At 40.0% G+C, this 16,001-nt stretch overlaps 1 protein-coding gene across 7 annotated transcripts in view; it reads right to left on the bottom strand.

The window, feature by feature from the left end:
* Positions 1-411: 411 nt before the first annotated feature.
* The window catches only part of SAMD8 (sterile alpha motif domain containing 8), an 82,531-nt gene continuing 66,941 nt past the window's right edge, over positions 412-16,001 (bottom strand). For 5 of the 7 annotated variants that reach the window (XM_011539312.4, XM_005269541.6, NM_001174156.2 and 2 more), the window contains exons 4-6: positions 13,877-13,994; positions 6,319-6,469; positions 412-6,147 (exon numbers count right to left, since the gene is read on the bottom strand). In XM_011539312.4, the coding sequence (XP_011537614.1) occupies positions 5,843-6,147; positions 6,319-6,469; positions 13,877-13,994 (574 nt within the window). In that variant the 3' untranslated portion in view covers positions 412-5,842. Of the gene's footprint in view, positions 6,470-13,876; positions 13,995-16,001 lie in introns of all 7 variants that reach the window. The other 2 variants (NM_144660.3, XM_047424641.1) reach the window with 2 other exon arrangements.

Genomic DNA, 16,001 nt, shown 5'->3' with positions numbered 1-16,001 from the left:
CAGATTTAAAGTTGCAGAGCTCAATCATTTGCTTGTTTTTTTGGAGACAGGGTCTCACTTTGTCACCCAGGCTGGAGTGCAGTGGCATCATCTCGGCTCACTGCAGCCTCGACTTCCCAGGCTCAAGCGATCCTCCTGCCTCAGTCTCCCAAGTAGCTGGGACTACAGACACGCACCACCACACTTGGCTAATTTTTGTATTTTTTGTAGAGACGGGGTTTCACCATGTTGCCCAGGCTGGTCTCAAATTCCTAGGCTCAAGCGATCAGCCTGCCTTGGCCTCCCAAAGAGCTAGGATTACAGGCGTGAGCCACCACACCTGGCCAATCATTTGCAAAAACTAAAATTCATTATATAAAAAACTGACCAGCTCCATTAATAATGCAAAGACATTTCAATAAGAAACTGTAATCCAACTTTCAAATGTTTTATTTTTAGTGTTTTTAAACATTTTAATACAACAAAGATATAAAATAATATATATTAGTTAAATCTGGATTTAATTTAGAATCAAGATATTTACTTATGTACAAACACTGTGCTTCAAGGTATGGCTACCACAGGAACTTTCACATCTTCAAGTAATACTAGTTTCTCTGTGGATAGAGAGACATTTAGGTAGAATTCACAAAACAAAACATGTCCGTTTTAGTCCCAGCTAATTTTGCTTCCCCCATTAAGTACCAGTTTCCACTTTCTTTGTTCCATGTCAGAAATACTTCATTTTTCTAATAATACATAGATCCTCTGAATAAAACTTAGTAAAAGTGAACATTTTTAAGATGACATTACTAATTGATAATATTGCTTGGCTATGTTCAATTCTCCAGACAACCCAGTTCTTCAGATTGAAAGAGACCTGAAGTAACAATGAAATTACCATAGTGTTCTTTCTCCTGCCATATCAGGCACAAACTTTCCTTATGCTGAAACATGGAATACACTGAATAAAAAGTCCTTTGGTTAATTTAGGGTAGAATGTATTATAAAAACCAGAATAGCTGAAATATGGCTTACAGATTTCAGAGATATTTGTATAGAACTTGAAGCAAAGTAATTGGTCACATTTTAGTTATTTGAAATTGGTGGCATTACATCCGGGTGAGGTGAGAAGGGGGTCCAAAACCTAGTTTCATACTAATTTTAGTCATTCAAAGTTACTCAAAGACAGGGAAAAGAAACAAAAAACCTACTCAGTCTCTTTCCATTCTTATTAGTCACCTGAAGCATTCTGACCTTTGATGTTACTAACAATTCTCCTCTACAGCAGTATGGGATAATTCAGGCTAAACTGCTTACAAACACTAACTGTTAAACTGTCAAGTTGGCATTAAAATTGACACCTTTGCTGGCTTAGAAACTGTCTAAATGAAACCAGTACTGTTTAAGAAAGCAATTGGACTATTCTACAAGACAGCTTTCTTGTCTCAAATGCCTGAATACCTTAAAGTACTGGCAAATGACTATATTATCATTACCTTTAGTATGAAGAAAATGTAAGTCTATAAAAGACTATAAAATAATTACATTTATTAAATTAGAGAGTTTAAAACAAGAATGTGGTTAACATTCTTAGGCAATTTAGATCTAGAATCCTTTAAAAAAGCTTACTATGAAATTAATGGTGAAACTGCCTTTTGTTGAATACAGTCAAAGAAGACTAGTGTTATAAATATGACTTTGTGAATACATGAGTAATACTTTCCAAACAGATGTTTCTAAAACAGACTGTTTCTTATCAGCTATAAAACAATCTGGTTCCTCTGTTTCCCATTTACAAATTACAGGATTTCTGGAATTCTTAGTAAAAACACACAGGCAGAGACAGGGCACGAAACACCGCTGCTCACAGAGTAAAGAGTTATAATCCCTGCAGGTCTCTTGATCCAATGGGTTCTGGTCTCTCTGTCACTGACTTTTTCTTCTGAATAGCCCACATTATTATTTTATTTTGTTTTGTTTTTTTGAGATGGAGTCTCGCTCTGTCACCCAGACTGAAGTGTAGTGGCAGTATCTCGGCTCACTGCAACCTCCGCCTCCTGGGTTCAAGCGATTCTTCTGCCTCAGCCTCCCGAGTAGCTGGGACTACAGGCATGGGCGTGCACCACCACGCCCGGCTAATTTTTGTATTTTTAGTAGAGACGGAGTTTCACCACATTGGCCAGGCTGGCCTCGAACTCCTGACCTCGTGATCTGCCTGCCTCAGCCTCCTAAAGTGCTGGGATTATAGGCATAGTCCGCATTATTTAACTGACTGGTTCTAAGGATAAGTTCTGATTTCAAAGGATACAAATAAATAGAGCTAGAAGTTCTATTTTTGCCCTTGCAATTCTGGTCAGAAAACTATGGAGAGGATAGCCACATAAAGAATTCTTGCAGCACAGCCACGAAAGGTTTCCCCCAAATTATTTTGTGATAACAGCAAACCTGCCTCCTTCAAAACCTCTTACTCTCTACCACTCTTCAATTACCCTTCAATAACACTACCCTACCTGGTCTTTAAAAAAAAAAAAGGAAAAGAAAAAAAAAGGCAACACTGCTGCCAGGAACACAGAAAATGCATTGAAGACTTGTAACATAACCTCCAGTTTGCATCCCCAAACCAAAAACCTTTTGGTTCCTTCCTTACTAAAGTCTCCATGATGATGTAAGCCTTCACAAGTCTGCAACTACAGAACCAAATACAAGGTCAAAAAATATGTAGACCAAAGCCATGTAGCTTCTCTGCTTAGCCACATTCACAGATAAAATGTAAACATAAATACTATCTTCACTATGGTTTAGATTTTAACCAGGAAAAAAAATGAAGACAAAATCTGGAAATTTCTGGACAAAACAAAAAGCAACTAAAATACAGGTTTCATGTTTAAGTAAAACTGAAAATAAATTTGTCTCAATGTTTTCCAAGAAAGAGATGATTAATTTATGTAAACACTGCCTTATAATAGTTAAAACAATAAGTTATACCTAACTTACATTTTTCTCAAAACATATATGAGCAAGTGCAAGGCTGAAAAGTTATTTTACAATCCCCATTGCAGTCTGTTGTTAGGTCTCTCAATGTCAATAGCTCTGCAAAGTTAGTTACATTTATTTTTCTATTTGGTCTTAGAATAGAATTTATATGAAGGAAAGAAGACTGAGGTTAATAGCTATTTAAGTTTTTGTTATTGATTGATTGATTGATTGAGGCAGGGTCTCACTCTGTCCCCAAGGCTGGAGTGCAGTGGCATGATTACAGCTCACTGTAGCCTCAACCTCCTTGGGCTCAAGTGATCCTTCTGCCTCAGCCTCCCATGTAGCTGGGACCACAGGCATGCATCACCACGCCCAGCTAATTTTCTAAACAACTTTTTGTGGGGATGAGGTCTCACTTTGTTGCCCAGGCTGGTCTCTTTTACCTGAGCTCAAGTGATCCTCCTGCCTTAGCCTCCCAAAGTGCTGCGATTACAGGCATTAGACACTGCACCCACTCTAATTTGTTTTGTTTTGTTTTGTTTCGTTTTGAGATGGAGTCTCACTCTGTCACCTAGGCTGGAGTGCAGTGGAGTGATCTCAGCTCAATGCAAACTCCACCTCCTGGGTTCAAGTGTTTCTTGTTCCTCAGTCTCCCAAGTAGCTGGGATTACAAGTGCGTGCCACCATGCCCAGCTAATTTTTGTAGTTTTAGTAGAGATGAGGTTTCACCATATTGGCCAGGCTAATCTCGAACTCCTGACCTCAAGCCATCCGCCTGCCTTGGCCTCCCAAAGTGCTGGGATTACAGGCGTGAGCCATTGCACCCAGCCATGTTTTTAAGAGAATGGGTCTTGCTACCTTGCCCGGGCTGGAATGCAGTGGTTATTCATAGGCGTTATAACACACTCTAGTTTCTAACTCCTGGCCTCAAGCAATCCTCCTGCCTCAGCCTCCTCAGAACCTGGGACTATAGCCTTGCACCACTGCACTCGGCTTAACATTTTAGCATTAATGTTGCCATACAGTTTTTTGAACCCTTTCCCAAAAGCCAACATCACTGCCTCCCTAGCTAAATTCAGTCTGTTCTGTCACGTAGAAAAATAACAGTAACATATCTTTTTACCTGAAGGGTCAAACCACTCTAACTGGCATAGGAAACATCCTTTATTTTTCATGATTATGCAACTTCTTTACATGAGATGTTGGCATTTTGTTCCTAGCATGTAACAGAATCAGTGATTTAAGATATCAGATTCTGAGTTGTGAGATTTAAAAGCATAAAAGTTGAATTGCCTTGCAGCATTTCTCAAGTGAGAAATACAAAAATGATGTTCACAGCAGACCCAAATTGGGGTCATTCAGCACTAGCTGAGACTTGTTTGCATAATTTCCTTTCCTACCCAATTCATTCAGGCTCCTATGTAGCTTATACAGGGGTGGGAATATGACTCAAAGTGCAAAAATAAAATATTTCACCCAGATAAGGAAGGAGCAAGCTTCTGCTATGTGGCCTAATTGCAGGCCTCAGAATGCCAGCACCTTTTCTAAGTTTTTGTTTTAAAATGGAATGTAAAAACTACATAATTAATATTCCAAGCAGCTTAAGCTCATTAGTTGGGAGTTTAAATTCCAATTCCATAACCATCCTACTGTCATAACTACTGTAAAAAAATCATTAAAAATAAAGTAACAAATGTTATCATAGATGTGAAATTACTTAAAGTACTAAATTTCTAGTGTTGTAAATAGCAGCTAAGTTATATCACTTCCTGACTGCCAAATTAAGACTAAATAGAAAGAATGTATATACACCATTATATTTAAAAGTAAAAAACAACGAAACTTTTTCATATCCAAGTATGTCTGAGACTGTTTACTTCCAACAGCCAAGAATGATAAATTTCAAAAACCAAAAAGTTATATTTTGCGTGCTGTAAGTTTCTTTTCAGGAGAAAACAATTCTTTGCATGCATACCTCCCTACTTAACGGCATTAAGAACTTTATCTAACATCTGGTAAAACACTCCTATTTGGCTCATTTAATAACACCATTAAAAAAGCATAAAATTGAACTGTCATCTAACAACTATAGCACAAAGAAGTTATTCTGGGTACCTATACCACTAACATTAAGCCCATTTATTTTTATGGATGCAGCCATTTTTCCCTCATGAATACTCACTGAGGGTCACACTGGCACTGCATCTTTTGTTGCATCTTTGGTGAAATATGCCAGCCCTACATTTGCATTAATGAGGAGACCAATGGCATCCTAGCCAGTACTCTGTCACGTCATCTATGGCCTCTTTCATTCTCTTCTTATTTCAGGCATCCTGGTATGCTCAGTATATTTAAAGATGGTTCAGAAGGCAAAAACTCTTTGTCAGTAAAACAGATCATGTCCCAGGGTTGCATTTTTTAAAATGAAACAAAGATTAGTCCAAAGAACAAGTACTGTCACTTGTTAGGGTTTCTTCTTCTAAAGGTAATAAGGAGCTTCAAAACATATTATTTCTTGACTAGAGCCCTACTGGAAATCAATGAAAATTCCTCAACCAGCAAACTGCTCAAGTTGACTTGTTTAAAGTTCAATAAGCAAATACTCAACAGGTAAGGGTACAGCCTGACTTCAATCACAACATTAAGTCTTCCTAAAGAGAAGGGGCAGAAAACATCTACTTAAGCTTTCTGTTCAAATAGCTACATAAGGACTCTTGATTGTTCTTTCTTGCTTTTTATAATCATAACTTTGCTCAGAACAGAAAACTTTACTTTGTCAACACATAAGCCAGGCATCTAAGAACAACCTAGGGGGAGAACGCAAAGTTACTCATTTTCAACAACTATTATATATTTAATCACAAATTCATTAGAAAGATAGTATTCATCCAATTAGTCTTTTCATTATTGCTGGTTTTGAAAATGGCCAACAATATTCATTAGGTACTGTGCCATTAACATTGCATTCAAAAAAAGAGAACATGGGAAACCAAATCCTTGCTCTCCTACTCTGCTGATATGCTCTGGTATTGGCCAGAGTATGGTAGTACAAAAAGAGTCTTGTTGTTATATAAAAAGCAATAAACACATCAATAGAATAATGTTCATGGGCAGCCAAGATGAAGAAGATTCCAAAGAGGTTGAGAACCCAGGATAAAGTGTGCAAGAAATTCCAGCTTCTTGGTGTATCTAGGAAAAGGACAGAAAGATCATTTTAAAGCTACATTCCTTCCAATGCTTCTCAGTCACGTTTCTCAGGTCAGGCTGTTTTGCCATTCTTCACAGGATCTGACACCCTTCCCACAGCCTTCACTGCAGCTAGTTACCTAATACGCATAGAAGCACTAAAAAGATACTTACATTCGGTGACAAAGAAATTCAGCATAGTTAGGACGACTGTGTGGCCACTAAACATGTAATCTCCACATGTGTGAACGCCAGTCAGGGTCATACCAAAGCCACTCCAAATGGCAAAGGCTCGATGTAATTTCTCCCATACACTGCCATATATCTATGAAGAAAAGTTATGAATTAGTGCTTCAAATGCTTAGGGAGGTGGGAACTTCCCAACATCCATTCCTATTGAAATTCAAATGCTGAATAACTTAGAAATAAGATCTAAGCCAAAGCATCTAGGCCTTCAGTCTAATGAATTCCAGCCAGACTTCAAGAATGGGTGGGCAAAGCTTGGCTGTACTCAGAAATATTTTGGTAATTAAATGAAATCAGACTGGGCACAGTGGCTCATGCCTGTAATCCCAGCACTTTGGGAGGCTGAGGTGGGTGGATCACCTGATGTCAGGAGTTCAACATCAGCCTGGCCAACATGGCGAAACCCCAACTCTACTAAAAATACAAAAATTAGCCAGGCATGGTGGTGCACACCTATAATCCCAGCTACTAGGGAGGCTAAGGCAGGAGAATCACTTGAACCTGGGAGGCGGAGGTTGCAGGGAGCCGAGATCGCGCCACTGTACTCCAGCCTGGGCGACACAGTAAGACTCTGTCTCAAAAAAATTGATTAATTAATTAAAAATAAATAAATAAATAAATAAATAAATGAAATCACTGTAACATGAACTCCTTTACTAGGAGTTCCTTTATAATAAAAAGTTCTCTATAATACAAAAACATCTCCAAGTTTTTAATCCAATATCACAGTAGTAGTTGCTTGGCTATTCTTGCCAATAAGACATAGGCTATGACAGACGGAGATCAATGTCTACCTTTCAACATCCACTCTCCCCTTCTTCACTGGTAACACAATCTCAAATATATTGAGGCAGCAATGAATTCAGCCAAAATATTGCCTTTCCCAGCCTCCCTTGTAGCTAGGTGTGGCCACGTGACTAAGTTCTGTACAATAAGATCTAAGTAGAAGTGTTAAGGGTTTCTGGGAAGGCTACTTATCAAGGTAAGAGACAACAGTTTTGAGGAAGTCTTTTCTAACTTTTTACCTTTCCTTTTTTTAGTCTACAACTCAGACTCATTCAACTGGAGGTGAAACTCCAGCAACCATCTTGGACCACAAAGTGGCCTTGAGGATACAAGCCAAGTATTGGGATAGCAGACCAGAAAGACAGAAGAATTATGGGGTTTTTTTGGATGACTTCGTAAAATTATCATACCAGACCTTGTGTACCTACCTTCAGACTCTTTTTTGAGAGAGAATAAACCATTGTGTGTTTATTAAACCATAGCCACTTTGAATTTCCAGTTATCAATAGCCAAACCTAATCCCAACTCCCACACATACGCCTAAAAAAGCAGTCCATTTTGAGGAAGACCTTGAGTGACAACTGCTTTACAAAAGAGGGACAGTCACTTAAAAAAAAAAAGCATACTGCAGGGTGCGGTGGCTCACGCCTATAATCCCAGCACTTTGAGAGGCCGAGGTGGGTGGATCATCTGAGGTCAGGAGTTCGAGATCAGCCTGACCAACATGGAAAACCCATCTCTACTAAAAGTACAAAAATTAGCTGGGCATGGTGGCACATGCCTGTAATCCCAGCTACTCAGGAGACTGAGGCAGGAAAATCTCTTGATCCCGGGAGGGGTAGGTTGTGGTGAGTAGAAATCGTGCCATTGCACTCCAGCCTGGGCAACAAGAGCAAAACTCCATCTCAAAAAAAAAAAAAAAAAAAAAGAGGCCAGGCACGGTGGCTCACGCCTGTAATCCCAGCACTTTGGGAGGCCGAGGTGGGTGGATCACAAGGTCAGGAGATTGAGACCATCCTGGCTAACACGGTGAAACCCCATCTCTACTAAATATACAAAAAATTAGCCGGGCTTGGTGGCGGGCACCTGCAGTCCCAGCTACTCGGGAGGCTGAGGCAGAAGAATGGCGTGAACCCGGTAGGTGGAGCTTGCAGTGAACAGAGATCGCGCCACTGCACTCTAGCCTGACTACACTCTAGCCTGGGCGACAGAGCGAGACTCCGTCTCAAAAAAACAACAACAACAACAAAAACCACACACAAAAAGGCATACTAGTATTATTATAATAATACAATTTAATAATAACATAATAATGGTACAAAAAGGTGCTAAAATTTTATGTACATTTACTATGTGCAAGGCATGCTGCTAAGTGCTTTATATGTTACTGCATTTAATTTCCACAGCAATCCTATGAAGTGATTTAATTGTGCAGATGAGGAAACTGGCTTAGAGAGGTCACATAGCTAGTAAGTAACACAGTCAGGATGTGAACCCAGGGAACCCAATTCCAAAGCCCTATGTCTTAAAGATTCTATCAAATATGACCAAAATAAACAACCTCATAGATATCACAATCTCATTAGGAATCTCACCTGCTGATTATACACTGCCCAGCTTTCCCTTTCTGCCTCATTTGAGGGAAAGAAAGGAAGAAGAATTTATTATTAGAGAGAAAGAAAGATAATACACATGGGTTTGGTTCTTCTGTGATCGCTATGAACACGGGCTTAGAGATATATTACTCTTGAGAAAGTAAAAAATCATGTAGTAAATAAACAGAAGAGACTGGTAGGAAAATGTCTCAACCAAGGATAGGAAACTAGTGATGCCAGTCAAAAGGCAGTTATCTCTCCATCCTTTCCCATCTTAAATGTCTCATATATCCTTCCAAAAAATAAAAACTGAAACACAACGGAGCAGAATGAATAGGATGTTTTGACAAGAGAAGGTGTAGAAATATGCATTAAGTGTTTCTAAATTTCAAAAATAGGCATGTTATTGGTTCTGTCCTCAAACCCCTTACTTCCAGGAATGCAATTTCAAGCAATTAATTTATTATAATGAAACTACCTTATGGAATTCACTGTAAGGGATTTGATTTCTATTTATAACAATTACTGCAAATAATACGGGTCAATAAGTAGGTTATATTATAATTCAAAGCAATTAACAGTATTTAGGTCAGATTGGAGTAGAAATATCTATATATAACCAACTGATAAAAACAGTCATTAGAGACAGAAAAAGGGCTGTTTATACCATAGAAGGATGGTATCTAATTTATTTTTGCAGCATATGTTGCAGCCCTATGCACGGATATCCCTCTCCTCAGTGGCTGTCCTACAATTAAATCCCTTAGCTATGGAAAATTTTCTCTTTTCAGTGTAATAAGCTTATATTTTTCTTCTTTAAAATCTGTCCTGGCTAGGTATGGTGGCTCATGCCTGTAATCCCAACACTTTGAGAGGTGGAGATGGAAAGAGCACTTGAAGTCAGGAGCTCGAGACCAGCCTGAGCAGCAAAGTGAAATCCTGTTTCTACAAAAAAAAAATTAAAATTAGGCCAGGCACGGTGGCTCACGCCTGTAATCCCAGCACTTTCGGAGGTCGAGGCAGGTGGATCATGGGGTCAGGAGTTCAAGACCAGCCTGGCCAAGATGGTGAAACCCCATCTCTACTGAAAATACAAAAATTAGCTGGGTGTGGTGGCAGGCGCCTGTGATCCCAGTTACTTGGGAGGCTGAGACAGGAGAATCCCTTGAACCCAGGAGGTGGAGGATGCAGTAAGCCAAGATCGCACCACCGCACGCTAGCCGGGGCGACAGAGAAAGACTCCGTCTAAAAAAAAAAAAAAATCAGTTGGCTGTGGTGGCGTGTGCCTGTGGTCCCAGCTACTCAGAAGGCTGATGCAGGAGGACTGCCTGAGACCAGGAATTTTAGGCTGACAGTGAGCTATGATCATGCCACACTATACTCTAGCCTGGGTGACAAAGCGAGAATCTGTCTTAAAAAAACAATGACTAAAATACAATAAAATCTCCCCTAATCAACTAGAATACTATTTGGGTGAAACGCTTCATACCATGTACACAGCATACTATTTTGAAGAAACTGCGCACACCATGCACAGAAACAAATTCAAAATAAATTAAACATGTAAAATATAAAAAAATAAGAACATAAAAGCATTAGATATTACCTTTCATCAATCAGAATGGCACTGCTGGCAAGAGGGTGAGAAAGCTGACACGCATACATGTTGGCAGTAGTGAAAAACTCATCTTTTCAAGTGTGTATTTCAGCAACACATACCACTTTTTTTTTTTTTTTTGAGATGGAGTCTCGCTCTGTCACCCAGGCTGGAGTGCAGTGGTGTGATCTCAGCTCACTGCAGCCTCTGCCTCCCAGGTTCAAGTGATTCTTCTGCCTCAGCCTCCCGAGTAGCTGGGATTACAGGTGCCCGCCACCATGCCCAGCTAATTATTTGTATTTTTAGTAGAGATGGGGTTTCATCATGTTGGCCAGCCTGGTCTTGAACTCCTGGCCTCAAGTGATCCGCCCACCTTGGACTCCCAAAGTGCTGGGATTACAGGCATGAGCCACCTTGTCTAGCCCATATTATATTTTTTAATGTGCATGTCCTTTAATTCTATAATTTTACTTGCAATAATTTATCTTAAGGAGATAACTGAGTAAGTGCAAAAGCACAATGTACAAGAATGTTTACTATAGCACTGTTTATAAATACTAAAATTTTGAAACAACCAAAATGTACATCATTTGGAGCCTGGTATCCACAATGGAATACTGTTAAAAAGATGAATATGACCACATGTACTTCTTCAGAAAAAAGTAAACAACATACTATTAAATGAAAAATAGGCTAAAGAGGCTGGGCGCGATGGCTCACGCCTGTAATCTCAGCACTTTGGGAGGCCAAGGCGGGCGGATCATGAGGTCAGGAGATCGAGACCATCCTGGCTAACACAGTGAAACCCCGTCTCTACTAAAAATACAAAAAAATTAGCCATGCATGGTGGCGGGCGCCTGTAGTCCCAGCTACTCGGGAGGCTGAGGCAGGAGAATGGCATGAACCTGGGAGGCAGAGTTTGCAGTGAGCCGAGATTGTGCCACTGCACTCCCGCCTGAGTGACACAGCGAGACTCCATCTCAAAAAAAAAAAAAAAAAAAAAAAAGAAAAAGAAAGAAAGAAAGAAAAGGAAAACTAGGTTAAAGAACAATGTTTGCAATATAATCCTACCTTGTTTCAAAAGTATCTATGAAAACTTATATGAGGGCCAGGCGCTGTGGCTCACACCTGTAATCCCAACACTTTGGGAGGCCAAGGCGGGTGGATCACCTGAGGTCAGGAGTTCGAGACCAGCCTGGCCAACATGGAGAAACCCCATCTCTACTAAAAATACAAAAAATAGCCAGGTGTGATGGTCCCAGCTACTCGGGAGGCTGAGGCAGGAGAATGGCTTGAACTTGGGAAGAGGAGGTTGCAGTGAGCCAAGACTGTGCCACACTACTCCAGCCTGGGCGACTGGGAAAGACTCCACCTCAAAAAAAAAAAAAAAAAAAAACCCAAAAAAACTTATATGAGTGTGTAAGTATGCTTAAAAATGGTCTGTGTGGCTATACACACAACTGTTAACTGTATTATTTATAGGGTGTGGTAAAAAAGAATCAGGTGAATTTTTACTTTTTAATATATACATTTCTATATAATTTGAATTTTTATAATAAACATATAATTTTATAATTTGAAAAAATTACTTTTCCTTTTTGGAAAAAGAAAAAAAGACCTCAAAACAGCTTTTACCTTAAAAATAAAACATTTCCTTTACATGAAATCCTGTGTCATATCAACCCTTCCCCCTTTCTTACTGGTCAGTCTAAGCCTTCCTAATACCAGGAGAAAGTTTTGTCACCCTTCAGCTCAGGGGTATATTTTTAGCTCTTGATCTCCTTTGGCTGCTTAATCTTCCCTTGTTGGCATTTCAGCTATGATATTGCAGTACAAGAAGTGAACGTGAATGCTGTTACAAACAACATTAAAATAATTACAAAGGTGTTAACACATACATTTATTTGAATATGTGAGAACACAGAATTAAAGCATAGAGGCCTAGAAAAGTAGAGTTCTTTTGTCCAAATTTGTATATAATTTGGACAAAATTCTTTGCAAATTTGTATACAGATTTTAGCCAATTTTGTATATAAAGTACAGGCGATTTTAACAGTCTTATTTTGTTCCCATCTGCATAATTTCTTCTGTTTAATGAGAAGAGATGTCTACAGTACACCAAAACAAATCCACAAAATATAAAATGAAAACCAAAAGTCAGCCATTATTTTGTTTATCTCAGAAAGAGTAAAGTTTAGAGTGCTGAGTATGTCGTCAAACTGCAACTTTCTTTTTGTTTGTTTGTTTGTTTTGTTTTGAGATGCAGATTCACTCTTGTTGCCCAGGCTGGAGTACAATGGTGCCATCTTGGCTCACTGCAACCTCCGCCTCCTGGGTTCAAGTGACTCTCATGCCTCAGCCTTCCGAGTACCTGGGATTACAGGTGCCCGTCACCACGACCAGGTAATTTTCTGTATTTTTAGTAGACTGCACCATGTTGGCCACGCTGGGTCTTTAACTCCTGACCTCAGGTGATCCACCCGCCTTGGCCTCCCAAAGTGCTGGGATTACAGGCGTGAGCCACTGCACCTGGCCGGCAACATTTTTAAAGGAGTGAGGAGGACAGTGAAGGAACCAGAGCATGCCATATGAGAAACTTTTAAAATGCTAAGGATGGTGGGAAAGGGAAAATGATAATTGAAAGAAAATTGTTTTCTTTCTTTCTTTCTTTCTTTCTTTGTTTTTGAGACAGAGTCTTGCTCTGTTGCCCAGGCTAGAGTGCAGTGGTGCGATCTCGGCTCACTACAACCTCCGCCTCCCAGGTTCAAGCGATTGAACCTCAGCCTCCCGAGTAGCTGGGATTACAGGCGTCCACCACTGCACCTGGCTAATTTTTGTATTTTTAGTAGAGATGGGGTTTAACCATCTTGGCCAGGCTGGTCTCAAACTCCTGACCTCGTGATCCACCCACCTTGGCCTCCCAAAGTGCTGGGATTACAGGCATGAGCCACTGCGCCCGGCCAAAATAAAAACTTTTTTTTTTTTTTTTTTTTTTTTGAGATGGAGTCTCGCTCTGTTGCCCAGGCTGGAGTGCAGTGGCACGATCTCAGCTCATTGCAACCTCCACCTCCCGGGTTCAAGCAATTCTCTGCCTCAGCCTCCTGAGTAGCTGGGATTACAAGTGCCCACCACCACGCCCAACTAATTTTTGTATTTTTAGTAGAGACGGAGTTTCACCATCTTGGCCCAGCTGGTCTTGAACTTCTGACCTCATGATCCGCCCGCCTCGGCCTCCCAAAGTGCTGGGATTACAGGCATGAGCCACTGCGCCCGGCCGAAAGAAACTTGTTTTCTATAGCTCCATAGCATAGAACGAGTTTCAACAGAAATAAGAGAGAGGTAGAATCTGGCTTAAGACTTTTACCAAATTATTTCTATAGTTTTTTTTATAGACATTGCAGATACTAAAAAGCACATTTTAATACTATAAGCAAAATCTTAGCCCTATTGCATATAGTGTGCCATCAACCCACCAAAAACAAGAATGATAAAGAAGGTAGCAGGCTACCTTTCCAGTACACTGCAGGTGTTGTCCTGGCACGGAGAGGGAGGTCACAAACATGGTAAAGCAGCGAAGCAAGAATACAGTTCCCATCAGACTACAGAGCCTTCGCAGAAGTATTGACCTGTAACAGATCAACCAAAAAGGGGGAAAGATCAGAAGAAAACAAACCAAAAAACCCCAGGCATCAAATATTTACTTCAAGGAAGAGCAAACAGAAAAATCACTAGACTCTTTGAAGAGGACAGAAATCTTAAAGACCATCAAAAGCATCGTTGTCCAACAGAATTCTCTGCAATGACGGAAATGTTCCATATACTGTCCAAGAAGCTATTTATATACTATGTGGATCTTACGGACTTGAAATGTGGCCAGTATGACTGAGGAACTGAGTTTTAAATTTTATTTCATTTTAGTTAATTTAAATTTTGCCATAATGAACAATACAGACCTAAATTAGATTCTAAGAGCATCATTTCACTGATAAGAAAATATGGCTAAGAGTCCAGGCGTGGTGGTGTGTGCCTGTAATCCCAGCTACTTGAGAGGCTGAGGCAGGAGAATCACTTGAACCCGGGAGGTGGAGGTTGCAGTGAGCCAAGACTGCGCCATTGCACTCCAGCCTGGGCAACAATAGTGAAACTCCGTCTCAAAAAAAAAGAAAATATGGCTAAAAGAAAGTAAAAGAGTTATACAAGACAGAAGACAAGTAAGCCTGGTGTTAGTCCTATTACTGAAAATTGCTCTTAAATTATTTATAAGAGATAAAGTTGGCCGAGGATGGTGGCTCATGCTTGTAATTGCAGCCCTTTGGGAGGCCAAGGTGGGAGGATTGCTTGAGTCCAAAAGTTTGACAACAGCTTGGGCAACATAACCAGACCTCATCTCTACAAATAATTTAAAAATGAGCTGGATGTGGTGGTGCACACCTGTGATCCCAGCTACTTGAGAGGCTGAGGTGGGAGGGTTGCTTGGGCCTGGGAGTTGGAGGCTGCAGCAAGCTATGATTGTGCCACTGCACTCTAGCTTGGGTTACAGAATGAGACTTGTCTCAAAAAATAAAAATAAAAAACAAAAAAAGGAGGTAAAGTTAAACACCTGTGATTCCAGGGAATTTTTTGCTCATTAATAACACTGTAGGCTAGGTGCAGTGGCTCATGTCTATAATCCCAGAACTTTGGGAGACCAAGGCAGGAAGGAGGATCGCTTGAGACCAGCCTGGGCAACACAGTAACATCTTGTCTATAAAAAATTAGTCAGGCATGTTGGTGTGTATCTGCAGTCCTAGGCTGAGGGGAGAGGACTGATTGAGCCTAGGAGGTCAAGGATGCAGTGAGCCATGATCATGTCACTGTGCTCTAGCCTGGGTGACAGGGCAAGACCCTATCTCAAACAAAACAAAAAAACCCACTGTAAATTAGTTAATGATAGTAGCTATCGAATACTCATTCTAACTTCTCTTAACTTAAACTTAAGCTATAAAACACTATGTTTTAAAAAAAATGTTTATATCAAGTATATATCAAATAAAAATTCTGAGTAACTGTCACTTGGGTAATCATGAACTGCACTGTGACAACACCAGTACTGTTGGACTAATATTCCTGAGGACAGGGACCATACATCACATATTTTTGAAATGATCCTCCCACCCTCAGAGAAAGCACTGAACACAAGGCTAGGTATGTTTCAAGCATTAGTGTGCACTCCTGAGATGGAACCTAGGAATCTGCATTTTAACAAGCACCCAGGTGATTCTAATGAAAGTGGTACAAACACTTTGAGAAACACTTTCTTTGACTAAGTAAACATTAACACTTGGATTTAACGGGTTACCTCTATGCTTTGTTAAACCTACCAAGGTTTCCTGTAAGGTAAACTCCAGTTTTGAAGAGTAGATAAATTCAAGTTCATGAGATCTTGTGAGGCAAAGTTAACCAGAAAGCAGCAATGATACACATGTTTTAAAACCACCTCTGGTTTTAAGCAATCCAGAATTTAAAATATTGCTGCAAAACAGGACAAAATGGGAGAGAATATGGCTCAATGTGGCCTAAAAGTATGATAAGAATAGTAACCACCAACCTTTCTTTTCACCTTCAGAACACTGAAATAACTGCTGCTTAGGACC

The sequence above is a fragment of the Homo sapiens genome, chromosome 10, assembly GCF_000001405.40.
Source record: "Homo sapiens chromosome 10, GRCh38.p14 Primary Assembly".
NCBI classification, from domain to species: domain Eukaryota; kingdom Metazoa; phylum Chordata; class Mammalia; order Primates; family Hominidae; genus Homo; species Homo sapiens.
The sequence above is the reverse complement of the archived record's forward strand: the minus strand, read 5'-3'. Positions and strand labels throughout refer to the sequence as shown.